At 55.5% G+C, this 19,299-nt stretch overlaps 1 protein-coding gene and 1 long non-coding RNA gene across 4 annotated transcripts in view, besides 2 other annotated features; one reads left to right on the plus strand and one right to left on the minus strand.

The window, feature by feature from the left end:
* Positions 1-6,394, plus strand: part of CPZ (carboxypeptidase Z) — a 26,988-nt gene extending 20,594 nt beyond the window's left edge. For all 3 annotated transcript variants that reach the window (NM_001014448.3, NM_001014447.3, NM_003652.4), the window contains 3 exons: positions 1,001-1,140; positions 5,071-5,170; positions 5,904-6,394. In NM_001014448.3, coding sequence (NP_001014448.2) covers positions 1,001-1,140; positions 5,071-5,170; positions 5,904-6,259 — 596 coding nt within the window. In that variant the 3' untranslated portion in view covers positions 6,260-6,394. The remainder of the gene's footprint in view (positions 1-1,000; positions 1,141-5,070; positions 5,171-5,903) is intronic.
* Positions 1-11,811, minus strand: part of LOC124900659 (uncharacterized) — a 19,443-nt gene extending 7,632 nt beyond the window's left edge. Inside the window, exons 1-2 of the long non-coding RNA XR_007058014.1 lie at positions 11,462-11,811; positions 841-1,371 (exon numbers count right to left, since the gene is read on the minus strand). This is a non-coding gene — a long non-coding RNA (uncharacterized LOC124900659). The remainder of the gene's footprint in view (positions 1-840; positions 1,372-11,461) is intronic.
* Positions 3,420-3,613: a silencer, noted in NCBI's record as "fragment chr4:8618505-8618698 (GRCh37/hg19 assembly coordinates)". NCBI's record gives its function as "represses an EF-1alpha promoter that drives an FKBP-Casp9 reporter gene in an ReSE screen in K562 erythroleukemia cells {active_cell/tissue: K562}" and the evidence as "EXISTENCE:reporter gene assay evidence [ECO:0000049][PMID:32094911]".
* Positions 16,950-17,450: an enhancer, noted in NCBI's record as "H3K4me1 hESC enhancer chr4:8632034-8632534 (GRCh37/hg19 assembly coordinates)". NCBI's record gives its function as "activates a minimal SCP1, AML or CMV promoter by ChIP-STARR-seq in naive H9 embryonic stem cells {active_cell/tissue: H9 hESC(naive)}" and the evidence as "EXISTENCE:reporter gene assay evidence [ECO:0000049][PMID:30033119]".

Raw genomic sequence — 19,299 nt, forward strand, 5'->3', positions numbered from 1 at the left:
TGACCTCGTGATCCGCCTGCCTCGGACTCCCAGAGTGCTGGGATTATAGGCGTGAGCCACTGCACCTGGCCTCTGTCCCTCTTGCCCCTGATACGGCCCTGGGAAAGCATGAAGCCGGGGACCAGAGCTAGCTGGACCAGAGAGACGGTGACTGTGGCTACACTGGGGTCTGGGCAGGGACTGTCAACAGCAGCTGCAGGCTCTGCGGCTCAGGAGCCTTGAACTTCAGAAGGGCGTGGGCTCCCTGTGGCCCCCGACACAGCCAGCCCTGTGGGTGCTATCATCCTAGGCCTGCCTTGGAGATGGTCATGGCTTCTGCTGAACAAGAAGCTCCAAGAGCAGATGGCACAGAGGGCAGAAGCGGGTATGGCTGGGGTCGACCCAGCTTGCTCTGAGGCCTTCTCGGCTGGCCAGGTGGCTGGTTGTCCACCCTAGCCTGGGCCCGTGGTCTCCCTGGGAGATGGAGCTAATAGGACCACCCTCCTAGACTCTGGTCAGGACAGCGTCTGGGTAAATGGACATTGTCACCATGGGGTCTCCAGGCCAGCAGCTGGGATGCCAGGGGCCTGTGCGGCTGCCCCGTGCTGTGGGCTTTTCTGTTAGAAACCGATTCATCCCTGACCTCACCAGAGACAGCATGGGGGTGGGGAAGCCTGTGGACTTTGCCGCCAAGCGGCCTGAGCTCAAGATGCAGCTCTGCCTCTTCCCATTGCGGGACCCTTAAATGCCTCATGCCGCCATCTGCGGATCTGCAAAGTGGGGATCATATGGTCCACCTTGCAGTTGTTCAGCCCCTCAGCTGCAGGAGGGGCGTCTGTGGCGAGTACCTGCTGCACTCACCTGCCTGCTGGGCACTTGGCTGACACCCCGACGTCCCGGCTGTCTCTGCGCGGCTGACACCCCGGCGTCCCGGCTGTCTCTGTGCGGCTGACACCCCTGACGTCCCGGCTGTCTCTGTGCGGCTGACACCCCTGACGTCCCCGCTGTCTCTGTGCCACAGGCATGTCCGATTTCAACTACCTGCACACCAACTGCTTTGAGATCACGGTAGAGCTGGGCTGTGTGAAGTTCCCCCCCGAGGAGGCCCTGTACATACTCTGGCAGCACAACAAGGAGTCACTCCTGAATTTCGTGGAGACGGTGAGTTCTGACGGTCTCAGGGCTCTGGTCCAGCTGTGGCCTGGGTGGGGTGGGTCACATTCAGGCCCCCAGGGCAGCCCCCGTAGCCTCACTGCCCCATACACACATGCTCCTTTTGCCACCACTTGTTTTGGGGTTAACTGTCCACCATGCACAACTTGAGATACAGTAGCCGGCTCTCCTTTGCGTGCTCTGTGGGTGCTGGGGTGGCGGTGCCATGTGTTGGAGTCCCTGTGAGCAAGGATGTTACAGCCTAAAGCAGCACAATTAAACAAGGGAGCATGGGCCTGGGCAGCCCGGCGAGGTGTCTGACCCAGCCTCAGAGGCTGGGGGGGCTTCCTGGAGGAGGCAGCCGCAGGGCTTCATCTTGAAGAAGGGTAGGAGAAATCAAACCACAGGACAGGGAGAGCTCCCAGCAGAGGGGAGCATGCTAGAACCCCAAGGGGACATCAAAACCCTCGAGAGCCGCTGGGGCTGTGGTGAGGACTCGAGCCGTGGGATGGGGCGGGCACTGTGCTCCAGGAGGCGCAGAAGTGAGGGCTCTGGGCAGTGGGGTAGCTGTGTGGTTCAGGCAGGGTTTTGGGGCCTCAGAGTGAAGGGTATAGGCAGGAAGTGGCTGGCAGAGGCTGGGGGCGGGGCAGGGCGTCCTGACTGAGGGGTGACTACTATCGTGAGGCTGAGGTCACCCAGAAGCAGGCAGGTGGGAGGTGAGTGGGGATGGCTGAGAATGTGTCTAAAATGACCCCCTCGCTGCCCCAGAGAGCCAAGGTCTCCCTAGCACTCAGTGTGAGAGTGGGGACTCTGTGCCCATGTCTGCTCCCCTTCCAGCACAGCTCACACCGAGGGTGCTGGGGACCCCAAGAAGGGTCCAGGATGTCACAGGGAAGGCAGCCTGCGTTCGAAGAAGCTTCTGCTATTTTTTTCCCAAGCGTTTTCAAGAATCACATAAATTGCATATGAGCACAGATGCCCAGTGAGAAGCAGGCCTCAGAAAGAGGGTTGAGCTGCAGCAGCAAGGAGAGGTGAGGGCGCAGCACCGTACAGTTGGCGCCCACCCACACAGGGCAGCCGGTTCTGACACCAGGCCGGGCGGCAGACGGGGCCGTCCCATTTTATAGATGGAGTTGAGGTTCTGGCCTGGGGTCTCTGGGCCACACACAGGCTTGTGCTCCAGGCTCCCAATGTCTGCGAGCCAGCCAGAGGAGGAGACAGAGGGTCAGAGAGTGACATGGCCTGTCTGGTGTCGCCCAGATCTGCTTCTTCCCAAGCCCTCTGTCCATGAGCCCCCTCCTTTCTAGAAAAATCAGGAACCTTCCTCCAAGTAAGAATCGAGCGAACTCCCTGGGGCAGCAGCCGCTGAGATAGGAAAGAAACAAAGCCCCACACAAAGTAAAATGGAACATTCTGCCATTTGAGTTTCTTTCTGATGGCTGTGCCGCAGCCCTGCACCACCTGTGGCGAGTCCCATTCTTCTATGAGCTCTCGCGCCAGGCCTGTGCACATTGCATTTTGCGGCTGTCTGATGAACATGAGGTTGAAGGAGCCTCGGATGTGGCTGGCATTGCTCCTGGATATTACACATGAAGTCTTGGGATATGAAGATTTACAGCAAGCGTGGACCTTGGAAGGCTGGGCAGCTCGCTGGCTGGCTCTTGAGACGGACGTCTTACAGGAGACCTGGGCGCGGGCTCCTGATAAGGATCAAGCCTGTCGTGGCCAATTGAGGCTTTTTTCAAAGTGATCCTGGCCAGGCCTCGGGTGGGAGTCTACATCACCTGGGGCGAGGGGAGGGGCGGCGTGGCAGCTCTCTTTCCCCACCAGAGAACCGCATGTGCCCTGTGTTTCATGAAGGTGACCCGTGGGCCCAAGAGCAGGGACAGAAAAAAAATCCGTCCACTGCAGGCTGATGCTGAGGGCCTCCTGTAAGAGACCCTCCTGGGAGAGCCCCTGCTCTCGGGTGGGGCTAGGGGAGGCAGAAGTGAGACCAGGGCTGGCAGAGAGGAAGACTGGGGCCGTGGGGCCCTGGGGTAGGCCCCCAGTGTGGCTGGTCATCAGGGAGGGCTTCCTGGAGGAGGAGGAGTGTGAGCTGTGTTTTGAAGGGAGGGAAGGAATCGGCCCGGTGAGGGGCTGGTGAGGGTATTCTTAGCAGAGAAGGCTCAGATGCTGTCTGGGGGTGAGGAGGAGCCACAGGGTGGGGTGGCTGAGGGGCATGGTGGCTTCTCGAGCTGTCCAGTTTCTCTTCATCACCTCTCATGCAGGAAAACCTTACTTTTTATGCTCTCCCTCCCGCTAAATGCGAGTCCATGAGACATTGTTTCAGGAGTGCGGTTCCATTAAGCAGCGAAGTGTGGACAAGAGCATCCAGGGTGGGGGTCACGAGCCCCAGAGGGCAGGGGGCAGTGGCTGTCAGTCCCTCTCCATCGCGTCAGGAGGGCTGGGACCCCTTGATGTGCTCATCATGGATTCCATGTGCTCTGGGTTCCCGAGATCCCTGTGGCACAGAGATAAGTGCTAGCATGTGCTTTGTGGAGCTAGACTGGGTGCCCACTCCCCTCTTTCAGCCACCTGCACCACTGACAGCTGGGCGTGAGCCTGGAACAGCAGTTAGGTGCCACAGGGTCTGAGCTCACGGGCCGCGTGTGTCAGGCCAGTCGGTTTCTGCATCGGTCACGGCGGGGGTCAGCCGCGGTGGGATTAGAGTTCACATGCTTGCTGAAATCATCGGTCCTGCAGAAGCCAGAGCTGCTTTGGCCTCATGAACATTTTACAGCTGAGGAAACTGAGGCACCCAGAAGCAAAGGTTTGTCTGAAGTGAACAGTCACTACGGCAGAGCTGATTTTCTGGCCCAGAGAAAAACCAGCCCCTCTCGGGCTAATGTCCCGGGGCCAGGGAAGGAGGATGCTCCTGTTGCCAGGGCTGCTTCCTGACCCTGTGGGCCCAGGCTCTTTGCTTCTGTGGACTCCTCCCTCCATATAAAGTATTTAAAATTATACAACAGTCGACATAAAGATGAATATATAGGAAAACAGTCTCTCCAACCTAAAATGTTTTGCTTTTATCCTGATTTTAAGAGGAGCAAGATCATTTTCATAGTTTCTGGAAGCACAGCAGGGCCTGGCTGGGAGCCCTTTCCCTTGAGAATCTGTTGCTGCTGAGCCCCGTGCAGGGCCCGGGCAGGGGGCAGCCTCGCTGGACGGACTCCTCTCCCCACAGGCATCCTGGTCCTGCTCAGCGTGACCTTCAGCATCCTTGGACCCCACGTTGTTTTCTGCTGACTAGAGCAGGGGCCGTGTGGGTGGTTTGTCATCAACTGTTTTACAAGAAATGTGGACAGGATCAGGCAGCTTTGGGAGGGCTTTCCAGGGTGAAAACGTTGGAGCTGTGGGCGTGCAGGGAGCTTGTGTGTTCAGGACCAGTTCGTGCCAAGGCCAGGCAAGCAGTAAGAAGGCAGGGCGTGTTATACACGTGTACGATGAAGAAACCGCGCTGCTCGAGCGAGGGTCCGAGCACTGTCCTCGTCCTCTCCCATGCCCACGCCACCTTCAGGAGCCTCAGCTCAGAGGGACCCAGGGAGTCCCGCTGGGGCTGGGAAGGCAGGGAAGGAATGCCGATCAGGCAGAAGAGTGGCAGGAAAGGGTTCTCTGCTCAATGCCCATAGAGATGGAGTCAGCCAGGCCTCGGGTGAGATGCAGGGTCATTCAAAAGCCCAGAACGTGCTCGGGTCAATTGCCAGGGAGGAAACTGAGGCCCAGAGAGGGGAGTGACTGACTCGTTAAAGATGGCAGAGCGAGGGCTGGCAGAGTGGGGCTCTGTGGGGTAGTTCCCCCTAGATACCAAGCTCTGAGGAGCATGTGGGGAACGAGCTGACGGCCTCCACGCTCAGCAGGAGAGCTCACGCCATCTCCCTGGCCTCCCCTTGGTCTCTTCAGGTGCACCGGGGCATCAAAGGTGTGGTGACAGATAAATTCGGCAAGCCAGTCAAAAACGCCCGGATCTCAGTCAAAGGCATTCGCCACGACATCACCACAGGTGAGCACGTCCCTGGCTGTCCCCTGGGGACCACGTCTGCCAAGGAAATGCCACACCGTGGCAGCCGGCACCCTCAGGCACTCACAGTGTGCCCAGCCCTCAGCAGGATGGCTCCATTCCTCCCCAGGCTGGCTGGGTCGGGGAGGGTGGGCAGGAACCAGGGTCTGCGTCTCCTTACAGCATTTGGTGAGGGAAGAGCTTGCCCAGCCGTAGCTACTGAATGATGGTGGATGCATGCTCTGTATTCCTAGGAAAATGCCGCCTCCTCCAACATTGCCGGGGAGAGCCACCTCCACCCCTAAGCCTGTTTGTTTCTATCCCAAAGTTCATACCCTGTTGATAGCTGGGGTGTCCAGCCCTGTGCGGGCTCTGGCTGTCCTTACAGGAATTTCACAGCCGATGAAAAATGACGGTATGCTGTGATATGTGTTACCTGGCAGAGATGTGGTCCAGAGAAGAGGGGGACTTTTGCTAACTGTGGGGTGGGTATGGGGGGTGGGAGTGGTCATCGAAGGTTTCAGAGAAGAGGGGTGCCTAAGCAGGGTTTTGAGGTATAAATAAGAGTTTGACAGAGAAAAGGGGTGGGAAGGACGTTCCAGGCCCACACAGAGGCAAGTGCACATTTGGCGCCTGCCTCCCATGCTAACCTCTCCCCACTCATATCCATCACCCATCACCCCGTGGCTGGGTCTGCAGTCCTCGTGAGAATCATTTTTAATCTATTTGTCCACAGCCCCAGATGGTGACTACTGGAGACTGCTGCCCCCAGGTATCCACATTGTCATTGCCCAAGCCCCTGGCTACGCCAAAGTCATCAAGAAAGTCATCATCCCCGCCCGGATGAAGAGGGCTGGCCGTGTGGACTTCATTCTGCAACCTCTGGGGATGGGACCCAAGAACTTTATTCATGGGCTGCGGAGGACTGGGCCCCACGACCCACTGGGAGGTGCCAGCTCTTTGGGGGAGGCCACGGAGCCCGACCCGCTCCGGGCGCGCAGGCAGCCCTCGGCCGACGGGAGTAAGCCCTGGTGGTGGTCCTACTTCACATCGCTGAGCACCCACAGGCCACGCTGGCTGCTCAAGTACTAGCCCCGGCCCCAGCACCCGCCAGGATGTGGAGACCGAGGCCCATCTCCGCATCCCGGGCTCCTGGCTCTTGATTTTGTCTGCCACAGACATCCCACAAAGCCGCTGCCATTTTATTAAAGTGTTTTGATCCACTTTGCACTGGAATGAGAGGATCTGTGTAAGGCACTTTCCAGGGAAGGCTGGGGACTGACCCTTGTTGCCTGAGGGCAGCTGTGGCCTGGGCCCCACAGGGCAATCCCGGGCAGCTATCCTGCTGCCCACAGGTCCGGATTGCAGGCCCGAGACTCCAGCCTATCTGTACTGGGCCAGGTGGACTAGCTGGCTTTTCCCAGACCACCAGGCCTTGAACTGACTTCAGATGGGAAACTGAGGTGGGCCAAGGGTGTGAGCATCTGTAGGAGCTGAGCTCCGGATCCTGCAGCTGAAGCTCATGTGTCCTGGAGTGTAGAGAAGGAGGGGCACTGAATGGGAGGATGGGGGTGGGCAGGAGGTGACCCCAAGGTAGGGTCAAGAGCTCAAGGGCGGGAGAGCTGGCCAGAGCCTGGGGCCTCATGGCATGATCGGGGGGACCACACTCAGGCTCACAGGCTTCCAGGGGGGCCTGGCTCCATGGGCGTGGATATTCCTGGGACCTCCCTCATCCTGATCATGCTACTTGGGTCCAGGGACCCTCTCCTGTCCCCTCTCTCACCATCGAGAAAGTCTGTCAGCCCCGGGATCTTCCAGGAAGGGGTCCCGTAGCCTGAGCAGAGAATGCAGCAGAGAAGGCACCTGAGCCGGCCAGGGCTGTGTCAAAAAGCAGCAGAGACCTGGCGCTTCAACAGCAGAAGTGTGTCCTCCCACAGTCCTGGGGGCTGACGTCAGAGCCATGTCCCCAGGGCGGGCTCCTTCTGGCACCACGCTCCCTGGCTCTTTGGCGGTCATCTTTCCCCCACTCTTCCCATCATCATCCCTCTATGTGTCTCTGTCCACATTTCCTCTTCTTGTATTGGGCTAGGGCCTAATATAAGACCCTAGCGACCCTCATTTTAATTTAGTTACCTTTACAAAGATGCTACCTCCAAATAAGATCACACTGAGGACCTGGGGCTAGGACTTCAGCAGATGAATTTTGTGGGAGGGACATGGTTCAGCCCCTAGGAGAGGGCAGCATCTCCCATACAGTGGCTCCTCACATGCTCCTGGCTGTGCCATCGGCCCCCCTGGTTTCCAGAGCTCCAGGCCTGGGCAGGTCCCTCCATGGAACTGGGCATCCACTCTGAGCAGTGCCTTGACCTCAACTGAATGACAGCATGGTCCCCACCAGCACCCTCAGCCTCGTTCCATTGCCTCCTGGCAGCTATGCCCTGAGGCGAAGGCCTCGGGGTTCCCAGCTGAAGCCCAGAGGAGCAGGCACACCCCCGGCGCTGGGTGGCGTGCTCTCGGGGGAAGGCATGGGGAGGGCTCAGGCAGCCTACAGCCCTCAAGTCTTACACTGGCACAACAGCGCTTGGTTTGCGGAGCAAGAATGATCTGGAGTGTTTGGGGAACATCTCACAGCCTCCTGAGCCCCTGCATCCTACATTCACCCATGCGCCTAGTGACTTGTAAGTTTACATTTATTTGGCTCCACTGCATACAGGGCACCGTGCAGGGGTCCTCTGAAATCCCGGGAGGCCCGTGGAGCAGACCTCTGCTTCGTGCTTTGCTGAAGTGGGTGTGGAAACAGCAGGCGCAAGGTGCCCAGGACTCGGGGTGTGCAGGTGGCCGCTCAGTCTCAGTCCCCCCGTGGGGCACCTGCACGAGGCCTTCCCTGCACTTCATTCTGTCCCCACCCGTTCACGCTGTCTAGGGAAGAGCCTGCTGCAGTGGGTGTGTGGGGTGGAAGGACTCATTCCAGAGCCCAGTTCGTGTCAGGGGCCAAGGGCCAGGCCCCCGGCATAGAAACTGGGCCGAGGAGTGGGTCAGGGAGCCTTGGGGAAGGCTGTGCAGGGGGGCCGTGGCAAGAGTGGGGGCCGGGGAGGTGGAGACGAGGAGATAGCATTCTCTTCACACACCACCCCGGATCCAGCCAGCGGGGGGCCCTTCTGCACTTCCATGTCCTTTTTTGTTGGTTTGTTTTGAGACCGAGTCTCACTCTCTCGCCCAGGCTGGAGTGCAGTGGCGCGATCTCGGCTCACTGCAACCTCCACCTCCTGAGTTCAAGTGATTCTCCTGCCTCAGCCTCCCAAGTAGCTGGGATTACAGGTACCTGCCACCACACCCGGCTACTTTTTGTATTTTTTTTTTTTTTTTTTTAGTAGAGATGGAATTTCAACATATTGGCTAGGCTGGTCTCAAACTCCTGACCTCAGGTGACCCACCCGCCTTGGCCTCCCAAAATGCTGGGATTACAGGAGTGAGCCACCACGCCCGGCCCCTTGTCATTTTGCTAGAACCTGCACAGTCCTTAGTGACGTCCTTGCCTCTGGCAGGATCCCCTGGCTGGGCCCTGCTGCCCCCCTCACTTTCCTCAGTCCCTGCTTTCCAGTGTGAAAGCTGTCAGAATCAAAATGGAGACACTTGTCTTAAACAAAACAAAACAAAACCCCAACCAATAGAGCTGGGAACAGCCCTGACGGTATTCCCCATAAAACCATCACAGAAGACAGCAAACACCACAATCGTGAGCAAAGTCCATCACAACCTCACACAAAAAACACTTCTGTGAGGACACCTGCCCAACCTCAGACTGTTACCACCCGTGTTCTCGATTCCTGTGGCAAGGATAAATATCCCAAAACAATTCTGTGATTCTCTTCACTTTGCCATTAAAGCCTCTGTGCTTTTACCTCCCTGAAAACGCACAGCGGACTCCAGCATACGTATTTGCACGCAATGCCCGACTCCTGAACGAACCTCGTTTTCATTTGGAGAGCCTCTCTGGCGGTGGTTCGGGTGGACGCTAGTGTGGACATGGCATTGGGAAAACGCTGCCTGTGCACCAGGGCTGCCTGTTGCTCCAGGGGTGCTCACTGCTTCCAGGCCCGTCCGTGGACAGAGCTAGATATCCAATTGTTTTTAAAGGGAAAACACAAGGCCAGGCGTGGTGGCTCACACCTGTAATCCCAGCATTTTGGGAGGCCGAGGCCGGTGGATCACCTGAGGTCAGGAGTTCAAGACCAGCCTGGCCAATATGGTGAAACCCTGTCTCTACTAAAAATGCAAAAAAAAAAAAAAAAAAAAAAAAATAGCTGGGCAAGGTGGCAGGCTACTCTGGTGGCTGAGGCAGGAGAATGGCTTGAACCCAGAAGGTGGAGGTTGCAGTGAGCTGAGATCACACCATTGGACTACAGCCTGGGTGACAGACCAAGACTCTATCTCAAAAACAAAAACAAAAATAAAAAACACAGAGGGTTCCTGTTGCTACTTCCAATTCCAAACCAGAATGACCTTCTCCTGTGCAGAGAATCCCAGATTTCAGGGCAAAGGAGGGGAAGGACAAAGTAGAAAGTCACACAACTGTGCCTGCTTGATCCAAAGCACACACGACAGTCTCACAGCCCAGTGCTAGTCCGCTACCCACAGTGCAATCACTGCAAACAGCTCCAGTTGTTTCCTCAAGTTCCTTTGGTTCTGGGATATAACCCACTAGGGCTATATGTAAGCTCCGAGGATTGGCTTTTAATATTCCTGGCAGCTGAGAAGAACAAGGTGCCGTGAAGAGCCACAGCCCCTCCAGAAACTGCACCTGGGCAGCGGGCCGTGTGGCCACAGCTGAGACCCTGAGGAGTGGGTCCCCAGGGGACTGGTCTCGGGGAGAGGGGCTGCCTCTTAAAACACGACGATGGACAGACAGATGGATACGTTCAACAGCAGCATGAACAAGTTCTACAACTAGAAATCATTATTTGTAAAGGAAAAACCCATTTACGAGTTGAATCAGAGGAGAGGCTCGTGTCTCTGAGTTCTGAATTCATGTGGGGAGGAACAAATAGAGGAATTACCTGAAACGTAAAGCAAAAATACTGCCTCGAGGAAGTTATGAGGGAAAAGAGATTTTGAGAACAGATCCAGTAGCCCCATATGCAAATAATAGGGAAATAAAATATAATAGAAGAAAGGCCGGGCGCGATGGCTCACGCCTGTAATCCCTACATTTTGGGAGGCTGAGGTGGGCAGATCACTTGAGGTCAGGAGTTCGAGACCAGCCTGGCTAACATGGAGAAACCCCATCTCTACTAAAAAATATAAAATACAAAAAATTAGCCGGGCATGGTGGCAGGCACCTGTAATCCCACCTACACTCGGGAGGCTGAGGCAGGAGAATCACTTGAAACCATGAGGCAGAGGTTGCAGTGAGCCGAGATTGTGCCACTGCACTCCAGCCTGGGCAACATAGTGAGACCCTGTCTCCAAAATAAATAAATAAATAAATAAAAGAAGACGGACTGATGTTTACAAAGCATTCAGAGGAAAGGGCTCTGCCCTGACACTCTATACCCCAGCATGGATAATAATAATAATCAGTGATATAATAATAGCCGATGCCCATGGACAGTTTTCCCTATCCAGGCACAGCTTCAGTGTTGTCTGAGCTTGTTTAATTTGTTTCCTCTCCTTAAGGAGAAACATATTAGAATTATCTCCATCTCACAAGCACAGACAGGTCAAGTGACTTATGCACCATCACACAACCAGGGTTAGAAACCAGAAAACCGGGCCAGGTGCGGTGGCTCACGCCTGTAATCCCAGCACGTTGGGAGGCCAAGGCGGGCTGATCACGAGGTCAGGAGATCAAGACCATCCTGGCTAACACAGTGAAACCCCGTCTCTACTAAAAAAAAATACAAAAAATTAGCCGGGCGTGGTGGCGGGCGCCTGTAGTCCCAGCTACTTGGGAGGCTGAGGCAGGAGAACAGTGTGAACCCAGGAGGCAGAGCTTGCAGTGAGGCGAGATGGCGCCACTGCCCTCCAGCCTGGGCGACAGAGCGAGACTCCGTCTCAAGAAAAAAAAAAAAAAAAAAAAAAAAAGGAAACCAGAAAACCTGGCTTTGGGATGGGTCTGTGTTCTCAGCCACTCTCTCACTGCCTCTGCAGATAGAATGCATGGGTCACAGAGAAAGAAAGACATGTCCAGGTTGGCAAGGATGAAGGGAAGATGACCTCCGGACCCTCCTCTGAGCAGACGAGCATGGACTTAGCACAGAGCCGGCAGGAGGAAGAGGAAGGAGGGCTACTCACCTCCGTGAGACATTCAAGGCGACGTGAGAGCCACCGGAAAGTGAGGTTTGAGTGTGGAATCAGGAGCATGCGATAGAGAGGCATCCCACGGCTGACCTCCTAGGCCTGGGGGTGTAAGTGGCCAGAAGCCCCCGGGGGCTCAGGCGCGGTGGGGAGAAGGTGCACCCAGTCCCTGGTGGAGGGTGGCGTTCCGGTTCCTGTCCTGCAGGACTGGGAATCTGATGTTGAGGATGCAAGGGAACAGCGCCGCCTGGTGGCATCGGAACACCGGGACCACGCGGGGACCCTGAGCAGGAGCGAGCCCTCGGTGGAAACCGGGAGAGAAGCCTGAGCCAGCTGCAAACCCAGGCAACTGCAAAAGAGCCACAGGAGGAAGAATGGGGAGGACCAGGAACCCGCAGAGCGGGAATCGGATGCGGGCTGCACTCCTCGTTAAAAGACCACCCGACTGGTCTGAAAACACGTTGCATGCGATTTAAAGAAGCGTGATTACGGGCCGGTGATAAGGCTTCGAATAAAGTGATGCCGGCTGGGCTCAGTGGCTCACACCTGTAATCCCAGCGCTCTGGGAGGCCAAGGTGGGCGGATCACGAGGTCAGGAGATTGAGACCAGCCTGGCCAACATGGTGAAACCACGTCTCTATTAAAAATACAAAAATTAGCTAGGCGTGGTGGCGGGCACCTGTAATCCCAGCTACTCGGGAGGCTGAGGCAGGAGAATCGCTTGAACCCGGGAGGCAGAGGTTGCAGCGAGCCGAGATCACGCCACTGCACTCCAGCCTGGCAGACAGAGCCAGATTCTGTCTAAAAAAAAAAAAAAATGATGGTGCCAAGCAGCCGCAGGTCGGACAGCAAGGCACGCTTTAGTACAGAGGCGGCGAGGTGAAGAGCAAAGCGTGAAGTGGGAAAGACATTGTGAACAAGTAGTAAGATAAAAAATAAATCTGTATTATACATGAATCAATTCAGCAGGTAACTCTATAAAAGCCAAGTTATTTAGAAATATAAGAACTTAATAAAAGCAGGATCCCAGATGGTCCCATGCTGGGTACCATCTTCAGAATCAGACCTCCCTCATCCTGATCATGCTACTTGGGTCCAGGGACCCTCTCCTGTCCCCTCTCTCACCATCGAGAAAGTCTGTCAGCCCCGGGATCTTCCAGGAAGGGGTCCCGTAGCCTGAGCAGAGAATGCAGCAGAGAAGGCACCTGAGCCGGCCAGGGCTGTGTCAAAAAGCAGCAGAGACCTGGCGCTTCAACAGCAGAAGTGTGTCCTCCCACAGTCCTGGGGGCTGACGTCAGAGCCATGTCCCCAGGGCGGGCTCCTTCTGGCACCACGCTCCCTGGCTCTTTGGCGGTCATCTTTCCCCCACTCTTCCCATCATCATCCCTCTATGTGTCTCTGTCCACATTTCCTCTTCTTGTATTGGGCTAGGGCCTAATATAAGACCCTAGCGACCCTCATTTTAATTTAGTTACCTTTACAAAGATGCTACCTCCAAATAAGATCACACTGAGGACCTGGGGCTAGGACTTCAGCAGATGAATTTTGTGGGAGGGACATGGTTCAGCCCCTAGGAGAGGGCAGCATCTCCCATACAGTGGCTCCTCACGTGCTCCTGGCTGTGCATCGGCCCCCCTGGTTTCCAGAGCTCCAGGCCTGGGCAGGTCCCTCCATGGAACTGGGCATCCACTCTGAGCAGTGCCTTGACCTCAACTGAATGACAGCATGGTCCCCACCAGCACCCTCAGCCTCGTTCCATTGCCTCCTGGCAGCTATGCCCTGAGGCGAAGGCCTCGGGGTTCCCAGCTGAAGCCCAGAGGAGCAGGCACACCCCCGGCGCTGGGTGGCGTGCTCTCGGGGGAAGGCATGGGGAGGGCTCAGGCAGCCTACAGCCCTCAAGTCTTACACTGGCACAACAGCGCTTGGTTTGCGGAGCAAGAATGATCTGGAGTGTTTGGGGAACATCTCACAGCCTCCTGAGCCCCTGCATCCTACATTCACCCATGCGCCTAGTGCCTTGAAGGTTTACATTTATTTGGCTCCACTGCATACAGGGCACCGTGCAGGGGTCCTCTGAAACCCCGGGAGGCCCGTGGAGCAGACCTCTGCTTCGTGCTTTGCTGAAGTGGGTGTGGAAACAGCAGGCGCAAGGTGCCCAGGACTCGGGGTGTGCAGGTGGCCGCTCAGTCTCAGTCCCCCCGTGGGGCACCTGCACGAGGCCTTCCCTGCACTTCATTCTGTCCCCACCCGTTCACGTTGTCTAGGGAAGAGCCTGCTGCAGTGGGTGTGTGGGGTGGAAGGACTCATTCCAGAGCCCAGTTCGTGTCAGGGGCCAAGGGCCAGGCCCCCGGCATAGAAACTGGGCCGAGGAGTGGGTCAGGGAGCCTTGGGGAAGGCTGTGCAGGGGGGCCGTGGCAAGAGTGGGGGCCGGGGAGGTGGAGACGAGGAGATAGCATTCTCTTCACACACCACCCCGGATCCAGCCAGCGGGGGGCCCTTCTGCACTTCCATGTCCTTTTTTGTTGGTTTGTTTTGAGACCGAGTCTCACTCTCTCGCCCAGGCTGGAGTGCAGTGGCGCGATCTCGGCTCACTGCAACCTCCACCTCCTGAGTTCAAGTGATTCTCCTGCCTCAGCCTCCCAAGTAGCTGGGATTACAGGTACCTGCCACCACACCCGGCTACTTTTTGTATTTTTTTTTTTTTTTTTTTTTTAGTAGAGATGGAATTTCAACATATTGGCTAGGCTGGTCTCAAACTCCTGACCTCAGGTGACCCACCCGCCTTGGCCTCCCAAAATGCTGGGATTACAGGAGTGAGCCACCACGCCCGGCCCCTTGTCATTTTGCTAGAACCTGCACAGTCCTTAGTGACGTCCTTGCCTCTGGCAGGATCCCCTGGCTGGGCCCTGCTGCCCCCCTCACTTTCCTCAGTCCCTGCTTTCCAGTGTGAAAGCTGTCAGAATCAAAATGGAGACACTTGTCTTAAACAAAACAAAACAAAACCCCAACCAATAGAGCTGGGAACAGCCCTGACGGTATTCCCCATAAAACCATCACAGAAGACAGCAAACACCACAATCGTGAGCAAAGTCCATCACAACCTCACACAAAAAACACTTCTGTGAGGACACCTGCCCAACCTCAGACTGTTACCACCCGTGTTCTCGATTCCTGTGGCAAGGATAAATATCCCAAAACAATTCTGTGATTCTCTTCACTTTGCCATTAAAGCCTCTGTGCTTTTACCTCCCTGAAAACGCACAGCGGACTCCAGCATACGTATTTGCACGCAATGCCCGACTCCTGAACGAACCTCGTTTTCATTTGGAGAGCCTCTCTGGCGGTGGTTCGGGTGGACGCTAGTGTGGACATGGCATTGGGAAAACGCTGCCTGTGCACCAGGGCTGCCTGTTGCTCCAGGGGTGCTCACTGCTTCCAGGCCCGTCCGTGGACAGAGCTAGATATCCAATTGTTTTTAAAGGGAAAACACAAGGCCAGGCGTGGTGGCTCACACCTGTAATCCCAGCATTTTGGGAGGCCGAGGCCGGTGGATCACCTGAGGTCAGGAGTTCAAGACCAGCCTGGCCAATATGGTGAAACCCTGTCTCTACTAAAAATGCAAAAAAAAAAAAAAAAAAAAAAAAATAGCTGGGCAAGGTGGCAGGCTACTCTGGTGGCTGAGGCAGGAGAATGGCTTGAACCCAGAAGGTGGAGGTTGCAGTGAGCTGAGATCACACCATTGGACTACAGCCTGGGTGACAGACCAAGACTCTATCTCAAAAACAAAAACAAAAATAAAAAACACAGAGGGTTCCTGTTGCTACTTCCAATTCCAAACCAGAATGACCTTCTCCTGTGCAGAGAATCCCAGATTTCAGGGCAAAGGAGGGGAAGGACAAAGTAGAAAGTCACACAACTGTGCCTGCTTGATCCAAAGCACACACGACAGTCTCACAGCCCAGTGCTAGTCCGCTACCCACAGTGCAATCACTGCAAACAGCTCCAGTTGTTTCCTCAAGTTCCTTTGGTTCTGGGATATAACCCACTAGGGCTATATGTAAGCTCCGAGGATTGGCTTTTAATATTCCTGGCAGCTGAGAAGAACAAGGTGCCGTGAAGAGCCACAGCCCCTCCAGAAACTGCACCTGGGCAGCGGGCCGTGTGGCCACAGCTGAGACCCTGAGGAGTGGGTCCCCAGGGGACTGGTCTCGGGGAGAGGGGCTGCCTCTTAAAACACGACGATGGACAGACAGATGGATACGTTCAACAGCAGCATGAACAAGTTCTACAACTAGAAATCATTATTTGTAAAGGAAAAACCCATTTACGAGTTGAATCAGAGGAGAGGCTCGTGTCTCTGAGTTCTGAATTCATGTGGGGAGGAACAAATAGAGGAATTACCTGAAACGTAAAGCAAAAATACTGCCTCGAGGAAGTTATGAGGGAAAAGAGATTTTGAGAACAGATCCAGTAGCCCCATATGCAAATAATAGGGAAATAAAATATAATAGAAGAAAGGCCGGGCGCGATGGCTCACGCCTGTAATCCCTACATTTTGGGAGGCTGAGGTGGGCAGATCACTTGAGGTCAGGAGTTCGAGACCAGCCTGGCTAACATGGAGAAACCCCATCTCTACTAAAAAATATAAAATACAAAAAATTAGCCGGGCATGGTGGCAGGCACCTGTAATCCCACCTACACTCGGGAGGCTGAGGCAGGAGAATCACTTGAAACCATGAGGCAGAGGTTGCAGTGAGCCGAGATTGTGCCACTGCACTCCAGCCTGGGCAACATAGTGAGACCCTGTCTCCAAAATAAATAAATAAATAAATAAAAGAAGACGGACTGATGTTTACAAAGCATTCAGAGGAAAGGGCTCTGCCCTGACACTCTATACCCCAGCATGGATAATAATAATAATCAGTGATATAATAATAGCCGATGCCCATGGACAGTTTTCCCTATCCAGGCACAGCTTCAGTGTTGTCTGAGCTTGTTTAATTTGTTTCCTCTCCTTAAGGAGAAACATATTAGAATTATCTCCATCTCACAAGCACAGACAGGTCAAGTGACTTATGCACCATCACACAACCAGGGTTAGAAACCAGAAAACCGGGCCAGGTGCGGTGGCTCACGCCTGTAATCCCAGCACGTTGGGAGGCCAAGGCGGGCTGATCACGAGGTCAGGAGATCAAGACCATCCTGGCTAACACAGTGAAACCCCGTCTCTACTAAAAAAAAATACAAAAAATTAGCCGGGCGTGGTGGCGGGCGCCTGTAGTCCCAGCTACTTGGGAGGCTGAGGCAGGAGAACAGTGTGAACCCAGGAGGCAGAGCTTGCAGTGAGGCGAGATGGCGCCACTGCCCTCCAGCCTGGGCGACAGAGCGAGACTCCGTCTCAAGAAAAAAAAAAAAAAAAAAAAGGAAACCAGAAAACCTGGCTTTGGGATGGGTCTGTGTTCTCAGCCACTCTCTCACTGCCTCTGCAGATAGAATGCATGGGTCACAGAGAAAGAAAGACATGTCCAGGTTGGCAAGGATGAAGGGAAGATGACCTCCGGACCCTCCTCTGAGCAGACGAGCATGGACTTAGCACAGAGCCGGCAGGAGGAAGAGGAAGGAGGGCTACTCACCTCCGTGAGACATTCAAGGCGACGTGAGAGCCACCGGAAAGTGAGGTTTGAGTGTGGAATCAGGAGCATGCGATAGAGAGGCATCCCACGGCTGACCTCCTAGGCCTGGGGGTGTAAGTGGCCAGAAGCCCCCGGGGGCTCAGGCGCGGTGGGGAGAAGGTGCACCCAGTCCCTGGTGGAGGGTGGCGTTCCGGTTCCTGTCCTGCAGGACTGGGAATCTGATGTTGAGGATGCAAGGGAACAGCGCCGCCTGGTGGCATCGGAACACCGGGACCACGCGGGGACCCTGAGCAGGAGCGAGCCCTCGGTGGAAACCGGGAGAGAAGCCTGAGCCAGCTGCAAACCCAGGCAACTGCAAAAGAGCCACAGGAGGAAGAATGGGGAGGACCAGGAACCCGCAGAGCGGGAATCGGATGCGGGCTGCACTCCTCGTTAAAAGACCACCCGACTGGTCTGAAAACACGTTGCATGCGATTTAAAGAAGCGTGATTACGGGCCGGTGATAAGGCTTCGAATAAAGTGATGCCGGCTGGGCTCAGTGGCTCACACCTGTAATCCCAGCGCTCTGGGAGGCCAAGGCGGGCGGATCACGAGGTCAGGAGATTGAGACCAGCCTGGCCAACATGGTGAAACCACGTCTCTATTAAAAATACAAAAATTAGCTAGGCGTGGTGGCGGGCACCTGTAATCCCAGCTACTCGGGAGGCTGAGGCAGGAGAATCGCTTGAACCCGGGAGGCAGAGGTTGCAGCGAGCCGAGATCACGCCACTGCACTCCAGCCTGGCAGACAGAGCCAGATTCTGTCTAAAAAAAAAAAAAAAATGATGGTGCCAAGCAGCCGCAGGTCGGACAGCAAGGCACGCTTTAGTACAGAGGCGGCGAGGTGAAGAGCAAAGCGTGAAGTGGGAAAGACATTGTGAACAAGTAGTAAGATAAAAAATAAATCTGTATTATACATGAATCAATTCAGCAGGTAACTCTATAAAAGCCAAGTTATTTAGAAATATAAGAACTTAATAAAAGCAGGATCCCAGATGGTCCCATGCTGGGTACCATCTTCAGAATCAGACCTCCCTCATCCTGATCATGCTACTTGGGTCCAGGGACCCTCTCCTGTCCCCTCTCTCACCATCGAGAAAGTCTGTCAGCCCCGGGATCTTCCAGGAAGGGGTCCCGTAGCCTGAGCAGAGAATGCAGCAGAGAAGGCACCTGAGCCGGCCAGGGCTGTGTCAAAAAGCAGCAGAGACCTGGCGCTTCAACAGCAGAAGTGTGTCCTCCCACAGTCCTGGGGGCTGACGTCAGAGCCATGTCCCCAGGGCGGGCTCCTTCTGGCACCACGCTCCCTGGCTCTTTGGCGGTCATCTTTCCCCCACTCTTCCCATCATCATCCCTCTATGTGTCTCTGTCCACATTTCCTCTTCTTGTATTGGGCTAGGGCCTAATATAAGACCCTAGCGACCCTCATTTTAATTTAGTTACCTTTACAAAGATGCTACCTCCAAATAAGATCACACTGAGGACCTGGGGCTAGGACTTCAGCAGATGAATTTTGTGGGAGGGACATGGTTCAGCCCCTAGGAGAGGGCAGCATCTCCCATACAGTGGCTCCTCACGTGCTCCTGGCTGTGCCATCGGCCCCCCTGGTTTCCAGAGCTCCAGGCCTGGGCAGGTCCCTCCATGGAACTGGGCATCCACTCTGAGCAGTGCCTTGACCTCAACTGAATGATAGCATGGTCCCCACCAGCACCCTCAGCCTCGTTCCATTGCCTCCTGGCAGCTATGCCCTGAGGCGAAGGCCTCGGGGTTCCCAGCTGAAGCCCAGAGGAGCAGGCACACCCCCGGCGCTGGGTGGCGTGCTCTCGGGGGAAGGCATGGGGAGGGCTCAGGCAGCCTACAGCCCTCAAGTCTTACACTGGCACAACAGCGCTTGGTTTGCGGAGCAAGAATGATCTGGAGTGTTTGGGGAACATCTCACAGCCTCCTGAGCCCCTGCATCCTACATTCACCCATGCGCCTAGTGCCTTGAAGGTTTACATTTATTTGGCTCCACTGCATACAGGGCACCGTGCAGGGGTCCTCTGAAACCCCGGGAGGCCCGTGGAGCAGACCTCTGCTTCGTGCTTTGCTGAAGTGGGTGTGGAAACAGCAGGCGCAAGGTGCCCAGGACTCGGGGTGTGCAGGTGGCCGCTCAGTCTCAGTCCC

The sequence above is a fragment of the Homo sapiens genome, chromosome 4 (genome assembly GCF_000001405.40).
Source record: "Homo sapiens chromosome 4, GRCh38.p14 Primary Assembly".
Lineage (NCBI taxonomy): Eukaryota > Metazoa > Chordata > Mammalia > Primates > Hominidae > Homo > Homo sapiens.